At 38.7% G+C, this 9760-nt stretch overlaps 2 annotated features.

The window, feature by feature from the left end:
• Positions 2880-3492: an enhancer, noted in NCBI's record as "H3K27ac-H3K4me1 hESC enhancer chr18:32786051-32786663 (GRCh37/hg19 assembly coordinates)". NCBI's record gives its function as "activates a minimal SCP1, AML or CMV promoter by ChIP-STARR-seq in primed H9 embryonic stem cells {active_cell/tissue: H9 hESC(primed)}" and the evidence as "EXISTENCE:reporter gene assay evidence [ECO:0000049][PMID:30033119]".
• Positions 3493-4106: an enhancer, noted in NCBI's record as "H3K27ac-H3K4me1 hESC enhancer chr18:32785437-32786050 (GRCh37/hg19 assembly coordinates)". NCBI's record gives its function as "activates a minimal SCP1, AML or CMV promoter by ChIP-STARR-seq in primed H9 embryonic stem cells {active_cell/tissue: H9 hESC(primed)}" and the evidence as "EXISTENCE:reporter gene assay evidence [ECO:0000049][PMID:30033119]".

Raw genomic sequence — 9760 nt, 5'->3', positions numbered from 1 at the left:
AAGGCTTTTTCTGCATCTATTGAGATAATCATGTGGTTTTTGTCTTTGGCTCTGTTTATATGCTGGATTACATTTATTGATTTGCATATATTGAACCAGCCTTGCATCCCAGGGATGAAGCCCACTTGATCATGGTGGATAAGCTTTTTGATGTGCTGCTGGATTCGGTTTGCCAGTATTTTATTGAGGATTTTTGCATCAATGTTCATCAAGGATATTGGTCTAAAATTCTCTTTTTTGGTTGTGTCTCTGCCCGGCTTTGGTATCAGAATGATGCTGGCCTCATAAAATGAGTTAGGGAGGATTCCCTCTTTTTCTATTGATTGGAATAGTTTCAGAAGGAATGGTACCAGTTCCTCCTTGTACCTCTGGTAGAATTCGGCTGTGAATCCATCTGGTCCTGGACTCTTTTTGGTTGGTAAACTATTGATTATTGCCACAATTTCAGCTCCTGTTATTGGTCTATTCAGAGATTTAACTTCTTCCTGGTTTAGTCTTTGGAGGGTGTATGTGTCGAGGAATGTATCCATTTCTTCTAGATTTTCTAGTTTATTTGTGTAGAGGTGTTTGTAGTATTCTCTGATGGTAGTTTGTATTTCTGTGGGATCAGTGGTGATATCCCCTTTATCATTTTTTATCGTGTCTATTTGATTCTTCTCTCTTTTTTTCTTTATTAGTCTTGCTAGTGGTCTATCAATTTTGTTGATCCTTTCAAAAAACCAGCTCCTGGATTCATTGATTTTTTGAAGGGTTTTTTGTGTCTCTATTTCCTTCAGTTCTGCTCTGATTTTAGTTATTTCTTGCCTTCTGCTAGCTTTTGAATGTGTTTGCTCTTGCTTTTCTAGTTCTTTTAATTGTGATGTTAGGGTGTCAATTTTGGATCTTTCCTGCTTTCTCTTGTGGGCATTTAGTGCTATAAATTTCCCTCTACACACTGCTTTGAATGCGTCCCAGAGATTCTGGTATGTTGTGTCTTTGTTCTCGTTGGTTTCAAAGAACATCTTTATTTCTGCCTTCATTTCGTTATGTACCCAGTAGTCATTCAGGAGCAGGTTGTTCAGTTTCCATGTAGTTGAGTGGCTTTGAGTGAGATTCTTAATCCTGAGTTCTAGTTTGATTGCACTGTGGTCTGAGAGATAGTTTGTTATAATTTCTGTTGTTTTACATTTGCTGAGGAGAGTTTTACTTCCAACTATGTGGTCAATTTTGGAATAGGTGTGGTGTGGTGGTGAAAAAAATGTATATTCTGTTGATTTGGGGTGGAGAGTTCTGTAGATGTCTATTAGGTCTGCTTGGTGCAGAGCTGAGTTCAATTCCTGGGTATCCTTGTTGACTTTCTGTCTCGTTGATCTGTCTAATGTTGACAGTGGGGTGTTAAAGTCTCCCATTATTAATGTGTGGGAGTCTAAGTCTCTTTGTAGGTCATTCAGGACTTGCTTTATGAATCTGGGTGCTCCTGTATTGGGTGCATATATATTTAGGATAGTTAGCTCCTCTTGTTGAATTGATCCCTTTACCATTATGTAATGGCCTTCTTTGTCTCTTTTGATCTTTGTTGGTTTAAAGTCTGTTTTATCAGAGACTAGGATTGCAACCCCTGCCTTTTTTTGTTTTCCATTTGCTTGGTAGATCTTCCTCCATCCTTTTATTTTGAGCCTATGTGTGTCTCTGCACGTGAGATGGGTTTCCTGAATACAGCACACTGATGGGTCTTGACTCTTTATCCAACTTGCCAGTCTGTGTTTTTTAATTGGAGAATTTAGTCCATTGACATTTAAAGTTAATATTGTTATGTGTGAATTTGATCCTGTCATTATGATGTTAGCTGGTGATTTTGCTCGTTAGCTGATGCAGTTTCTTCCTAGCCTCGATGGTCTTTACATTTTGGCATGATTTTGCAGCAGCTGGTACCAGTTGTTCCTTTCCATGTTTAGTGCTTCCTTCAGGAGCTCTTTTAGGGCAGGCCTGGTAGTGACAAAATCTCTCAGCATTTGCTTGTCTGTAAAGTATTTTATTTCTCCTTCACTTATGAAGCTTAGTTTGGCTGGATATGAAATTCTGGGTTGAAAATTCTTTTCTTTAAGAATGTTGAATATTGGCCCCCACTCTCTTCTGGCTTGTAGAGTTTCTGCCGAGAGATCCGCTGTTAGTCTGATGGGCTTCCCTTTGAGGGTAACCCGACCTTTCTCTCTGGCTGCCCTTAACATTTTTTCCTTCATTTCAACTTTGGTGAATCTGACAATTATGTGTCTTGGAGTTGCTCTTCTCGAGGAGTATCTTTGTGGCGTTCTCTGTATTTCCTGAATCTGAACGTTGGCCTGCCTTGCTAGATTGGGGAAGTTCTCCTGGATAATATCCTGCAGAGTGTTTTCCAACTTGGTTCCATTCTCCGCATCACTTTCAGGTACACCAATCAGACGTAGATTTGGTCTTTTCACATAGTCCCATATTTCTTGGAGGCTTTGCTCATTTCTTTTTATTCTTTTTTCTCTAAACTTCCCTTCTCACTTCATTTCATTCATTTCATCTTCCATTGCTGATACCCTTTCTTCCAGTTGATCGCGTCGGCTCCTGAGGCTTCTGCATTCTTCACGTAGTTCTCGAGCCTTGGTTTTCAGCTCCATCAGCTCCTTTAAGCACTTCTCTGTATTGGTTATTCTAGTTATACATTCTTCTAAATTTTTTTGAAAGTTTTCAACTTCTTTGCCTTTGGTTTGAATGTCCTCCCGTAGCTCAGAGTAATTTGATCGTCTGAAGCCTTCTTCTCTCAGCTCGTCAAAATCATTCTCCATCCAGCTTTGTTCCGTTGCTGGTGAGGAACTGCGTTCCTTTGGAGGAGGAGAGGTGCTCTGCGTTTTAGAGTTTCCAGTTTATCTGTTCTGTTTTTTCCCCATCTTTGTGGTTTTATCTACTTTTGGTCTTTGATGATGGTGATGTACAGATGGGTTTTCGGTGTGGATGTCCTTTCTGTTTGTTAGTTTTCCGTCTAACAGACAGGACCCTCAGCTGCAAGTCTGTTGGAATACCCTGCAGTGTGAGGTGTCAGTGTGCCCCTGCTGGGGGGTGCCTCCCAGTTAGGCTGCTCGGGGGTCAGGGGTCAGGGACCCACTTGAGGAGGCAGTCTGCCCGTTCTCAGATCTCCAGCTGCGTGCTGGGAGAACCACTGCTCTCTTCAAAGCTGTCAGACAGGGACATTTAAGTCTGCAGAGGTTACTGCTGTCTTTTTGTTTGTCTGTGCCCTGCCCCCAGAGGTGGAGCCTACAGAGGCAGGCAGGCCTCCTTGAGCTGTGGTGGGCTCCACCCAGTCCAGCTTCCCGGCTGCTTTGTTTACCTAAGCAAGCCTGGGCAATGGCGGGCACCCCTCCCCCAGCCTCGCTGCCGCCTTGCAGTTTGATCTCAGACTGCTGTGCTAGCAATCAGCGAGATTCCGTGGGCGTAGGACCCTCTGAGCCAGGTGTGGGATATAGTCTCGTGGTGCGCCGTTTTTTAAGCCGGTCTGAAAAGCGCAATATTCTGGTGGGAGTGACCCGATTTTCCAGGTGCGTCCGTCACCCCTTTCTTTGACTCGGAAAGGGAACTCCCTGACCCCTTGCGCTTCCCAGGTGAGGCAATGCCTCGCCCTGCCCCAGCTCGCGCACGGTGCGCGCACCCACTGGCCTGCGCCCACTGTCTGGCACTCCCTAGTGAGATGAACCCAGTACCTCAGATGGAAATGCAGAAATCACCCATCTTCTGCATCGCTCCCGCTGGGAGCTGTAGACCGGAGCTGTTCCTATTCCGCCATCTTGGCTCCTCCCCCAATTTTTACTTTTCTTGTTCTTACTTTTTGATGTTCAAGATACCTTTTATCATTTCTGTTCTGTTTCAAAAACTTTGGCTATTCTTTTAGAGAAGGTTTGCTAACAATAAGTTCTCTTACTTTTCTTTCATCCGAGACTATCTTGATTTCTTGTTCATTCTTGAAGGATATTTTTACTAGATAAGGGGTTTTTTTCTTTCAGCATTTGAAAAATATTGTGCCATTTCCTTCTGGCCTCCATGGTTTCTCATGATAAATCTGCTGTCAATGAAACTGTTTCTTCCACCACCTTCCATTCACCACCCAAAATAGGTAAGATGTTTTCTCCTGTAATTGCTTTCAAGACTTTCTTCTTTATCTTTAGTTTTCAGTTTGACCATTCTGTGTCATGGTGTAGATTTCTTTGTGTTTATTCTGTTTACAGTTTATTTACATTCTTGAATCTGTAGGTTTATGTCTTTTGCCAACTTTGGGAAATTTTTAGGCATACATTTAAAAACTACCTTTTCAGTTCTGCCCTTTTTTCTCTCTCCTTCTCAGACCACCGTTGCATGAATGTTAGATCTTTTGTTATAGTCCCACAAATTCTTAAATTTGCTTCATCTTTTTCTCAGTCTGTTTTTTCTCTGTTGTTCAGATTGGTAAATTGGTCATTTCTATTGCTCTATCTTCAAATTCACTGATTCTTTAATCTGTCTTCTCCATTCTGCTGTTCATTCCATCTGGTAAGTTTTAAAATTTTTGTTATTATATTTTTCAGATCTAAAATTCCCATTTTGTTCTCCTTTATATCTTCTGTTTCTTTGCTGAGACTTGCTTTATTTCATTTGTATTTTTCATTTGTTTCAAGTGGGTTCTTAGCCATTTTTGTGATGGCTGTTTTAAAATTCTCGTCAGATAATTCCAACATTTGTATCATCTTGGTGTCAGTGACTATTGATTATCTTTTCCCATTCAAGTTGAGATTTTCCTGGTTCTTGGTATGTTGAGTGAGTTTTCAATTATATCCAGCACATATTAGGTATTTTTTTATGAGACTACTCTGGATCCTATTTAAATCTTGTATTTTCAGCAGGCCTCCTATGAATCCACACTGGTGGGGCAAGAGTAGTACCACCTTGTTACTGCCATATTGGAGTTGGAGTCCAGGTTCCTCACTTGGCATTTGTTGACACCCAGGATGGAGAGGCTGCCTTGTTACTGCTGGATAGAGATGGGAGTTCAGTCTTCTTGCTAGACCTCTGCTGACACCACGCTGGCTGGGACAGGGAAGGGCATCTTGTTACTGTTCTCCAGGTGGCCTCCACTGATGCTGTATTGTTGGGGGTGTCATCAACTCTGGGTGCTGGTGAAAGTCCAGGCTTTTCATTCAGCCTTCTCTGAAACTACCTGAGTAGAGAGAAGAGTACCTTGTTACTGTCAAGCAGGGATGAAAGTCCCAGCTCCCCACTTGTTCTTCTCTGACACAGGCTTGGCAGAGGGAGTGATACCTTATTACAGCTGGATGCAGATGGAAGTGTAGGCTTCCCATTTGCCCTTTGGCCTTTGCTAATGGAGCTTGGTGGGGTTCACATTTTTTTTTCATGGTGTTTGGTTGGAGTTGAGAGTTATTGTCCAAAAAAGTTTTCTCTCCTTCTAGGCTGCTTCTTCTAGGTCTTTTGGCTAGAGAGTGCTTGCTTTTCTTGAGAGATTTTGTTTGTTTTTTTCTGGGATGTTTGGTATTTCTAAGCTGCTGGCTTTTCCAGCTCCACGTCTGGAATACGTGAAGAAAAAGAAAACCCAAGAAACTTATCACTGCATCTTTCTTGGATCATGTGGTCCATAGACAGGCTGCTTTTTTTTGTTCTACCTTTCAGAGTCTTTTTATGTGTATTTAATATATAATATCCAGAGATTCTAGCCATACTTAGCAGAAGGAGTGGGGAGGAATCCATCTTGTACTGGACCCAGAAACTAATAGAACAATATTTAGTATTGAATATTATTTGTATTAGAATTTGAAAAACAAAGAGTTGAGGAGCTCTCTAATATATAGTTGATTTTTTTCAAGTATTCGAAAATTCTCACTGGTGGTGTTAAAATCATGTGTCTTGAAGTCACCAGAAAAATGTCAAGAACAAAGTTTAAGATATTGGATGCAAAATGTAGATGCTTTTCTAGGGAATGAAGATGATTTATTTACCAAAAGAAAAAGACAATAGAATACAAACAAAAATACCAGCTGGGTATGCCTAGTGCTTTTTGGAATGATTACTTTCTGGGAGCTGAATAAGATAGCGCTTTGTGAAAGGAAGGGGCCTTAAAATCATTTAGGACTCCTTTCCAAAATTACACGTGCAGGGTTTTAGAGAGACACACACTCATTAGTGTTGATTGGAGTTATGTAACTCATATTACCCAGGGTATTACAGCTCGCTTTGTTAGTGTCTAATCTAGTGCCAGACTCCCCAAAGGCCCAAATCTGGCAAAGACACAGTAAAATGAAATGCAATGCTGTTTCTTAAAAAAAAAAAAAAAGAAATGCAGTCCAAGCTGTTCTCTGTAAGTTTTAAGCTTAGATTTAATCAAGTGCAGCCAAAATTATTCCACCCAGGAGCTATTATCACATTCCTTTTTTTGAAAGCAGCTAAAACCACGGAATTGTTGGCAGTCATATCCAATCCTTTAGGAAAGAAAAATTCTTATAGCCTCACAATTCCTAACTCTAACTTCCTTTTCCTGTTTAACATGTTTGTGAAGTTATTTGGGAAAAAAATGTTTGAGTGTTAATTTGTAAGTCTTCAACTTAGAACTTGCTGTGAATGAAAAGGATATTGACTCTGGGAGAAATAATTTGGAAAATTTTGGTTTTTAAGGGGAATTAATACAGAGAAATATATATATGTGTATGATTAAATATATATTATGTATGTATTATATTATTTCATATATTTATTTTATATATACAGTTAAATATATATTCCTTTTCTAGCTTTATATATGTTCATATATAAATATGTAACACATGTACATATATAAAGCTAGAAAAAGAATACAATATATATTTTATTATATATTATATTATATATTATAATATGTATTATATTCTTTACATTCCCTAGCTTTGTATATATATAAATCTAGAAAACAAAAACAAAAACAAAACCCAAGAGACTATGGCAGTAACTTCAGACTAACTTTAAAAACCACCAGTTTTTATTTATTTAAATACTTTTTGAGCTGCAACCCCTTGAAAAATTCATAGCTGGACTGAGCCATAATTCCTTTTCTACACATTTGTTTCTTCACCTGGTTTTTATAAATGTTTACATGAAAGAGAATATACTTAAAAAGTATATTAAAAAGTATACTTAAAAAGGTGTATATATTCTGCTTATACCTTGTCAGAAATATCTATGACTTTGTTTGGAATTTCTATTATATATGATAGCCACTTGCAATTTAATAAACAGGCATTTTTTTATTTGTATGGACAGTTCGCTCCAGGGAAGACCTTTTGGAGCTGATCATAAATGGTACAGGATGTGCTCATTTTAAACAAAATTAAGAAATACATGAAGGCATGTTTCTGGCCCCTTCTTAAATCTGTACCTTGTTTCTCTCTCCTGAATTCATCCACTTCTATCCTTGGGCCTTATCCCGTGGCCTGATTCTACCTTCATATGGCTGTCAACAAATTTTTGCTAACACTGACTTAAGGTGGGTCTTGAAATGATTTAAGTAAGATATAGTTTTGTGGAATCTTTTTTTTTTTAAACAAGATCACTGGAAGATGAAAAAGCATTTTTTTTTTCCTTCCACTGGGCTTTTTCCGGAGGCCAGAAGTGAAGAGTAAGTTAGCATGCCATCTAAAGGAGTGTGGAGCCCTGGTCTGTGCTTGTTTGATATAAACAGTAAGCTTTTTATGAATTGTGGAAGCCATTTCTGGGAGGAAAAGGGCTCAAACCTGAACAAATCACTGGAGTCCAGCCATACAGCGCTCTCAAGGGAAAAGCTTAAGCTAAAGGCCTTCCCTAGTTGGGCCATCAAACCAAATCAAAGTGTCTGCTCATTAAATTGCAAGTGGCCATCTGTTTGCTTAATCATGTGCTTCTCTTTCCGTCGGGCTGGTTATCACCGTCTGGTCTGGCCCCTTTTACTAATTAGCCTAAGCTTGATCTTTAGGTGAACCACAGTTTAATTTTATCTGGCATGGAATATGGGTTTATTTATTGTTCCATTTGGTTAAATCATTTGAGGGAAAAGAAAAAAGTTACTATTCTATAGTTTACAAGGACTGGTTATTTAGAATCTGGATTAATATTTGGCTTTTACATTTGAATATTCCCCAGTGAATTGTTTTATGTTATTCTTTTTCTCATTTTGGCGGTGAACATGGTAATGTTTACATTTATAGTTTTTTAGAGCTAGACAGTATTGTTTTTTGGTTTTGTTTTTTCTTTCTTTTCTTCTCATTTCTTTTCTTACTTGCTTTTTTTTTTTTTTGAGACAGGGTCTCTCTTTGTTGCCCAGGCTAGAGTGCAGTGGCACAATCATGGCTCACTGCAATCTCCACCTCTTGAGCTCAAGTGAACCTCCCACCTCAGCCTCCATAGTAGCTGGGACTACAGGTGTACACCACCATGCCCGGCTATTTTTTGTATTTTTTGTAGAGATGAGGTTTCGCCATGTTGTCCAGGCTGGTCTAGAACTCCTGAGCTCAAGCGATCTTCTAGCTTCGGCCTCCCGAATTGCTGGGATTACAGGCGTGAGCCACTGCACCCAGCCTGTTTTCTTTCTTTATTAAGCAATACATATATATATTATAACAGATCCAGTTATACAGTATAAAGGCAAAGTCTAGATAACCAAAGTTAACAGTCTGCTGTGTATCTTTTTGCAATGCTTGTTCAAATACAGACGAGTGGGATGCAATAAAGATATAAATGTAACAAATAAAGCTATATGAGAATGTTTCTATAATGTAGTGGGCGGCAATGTGGGAGTAAGGGAGGGGAGCTTTTTAAGATGGAAAACCCAAAAGCTTAGAGTCAGACTTGAGCCACATCAAAAATTTAAAGTTTCTAAAGATGATTGCCAGTTGGGGAATTGTTTATAGTGTACTTATAAATACTGCCACTGAATCAACCAATCGTTTTAGCACCATGTACTCTTAATTTTGGTTAATAAGTTTAATTCATATTATACTATTTTAATAGGCTGAATTTAAGTATATATGCTGAAAGAACCATAAGACTATTTTGTATTGACTGTAAAAATCCACGAAGTAGAATTCTTTTAAACATTCTCGAGTTCGACTTCTTTTTAAAATTCTTTTTCATTCTAGATTCCATAGATAGAAGCATGTGAGGAGATCTCAGTCTAGTTCTGTGTTGAGAGAACAAATGTCTGTGCATACGATGTTCCCTTCCTGAGCACTGTCTTATTTAACTTCCCACCAGAGAAGGACAACACTGGAGGCTCCTTTTTTCCTTAGGGTTATGATCTATACCAAGCAGCAAGACTCAGGGAAAATCATGTTTCTGCTAACAATTTACAGAAAACATAATTTAAGAATTTCTCATAATTTATAAAGAGTAAAAAGGGATTATGTAACATCATGTTGTTTTTTGGAGGTCACTTAAAATTAGGATGGTAAATATTGATATTGTTTCATTGATTATGTTCCAAATTCTCCAAATTGGCCAATAGTTATACTATGTAGTTACCATCCACTGTTATCCAGGTTTATTCTTCTGTTACTTAGGCTGTCATTGATATTCCAAGTAAAGTAGTATAGTTCACTCTTCTGAATTTGTTTGTGTTTGTTGAAAACCCAGTATTTGGGTATTTAATTTAATTAGCACTAGATGTACATTGCCCCCTGTTTGCCTAGGAGTAGAAAAGCTAAGTGTCAGGTTGTGAGCCTCATTTTTAATGTGAGCCTCATTATAAGTATTTTGAGAGAGAAGCCATTCATTT

Source organism: Homo sapiens, chromosome 18 (assembly GCF_000001405.40).
Source record: "Homo sapiens chromosome 18, GRCh38.p14 Primary Assembly".
In the NCBI taxonomy this organism is placed as follows: Eukaryota; Metazoa; Chordata; class Mammalia; order Primates; family Hominidae; genus Homo; species Homo sapiens.
This window is presented reverse-complemented; position numbering and strand designations above follow the sequence as displayed.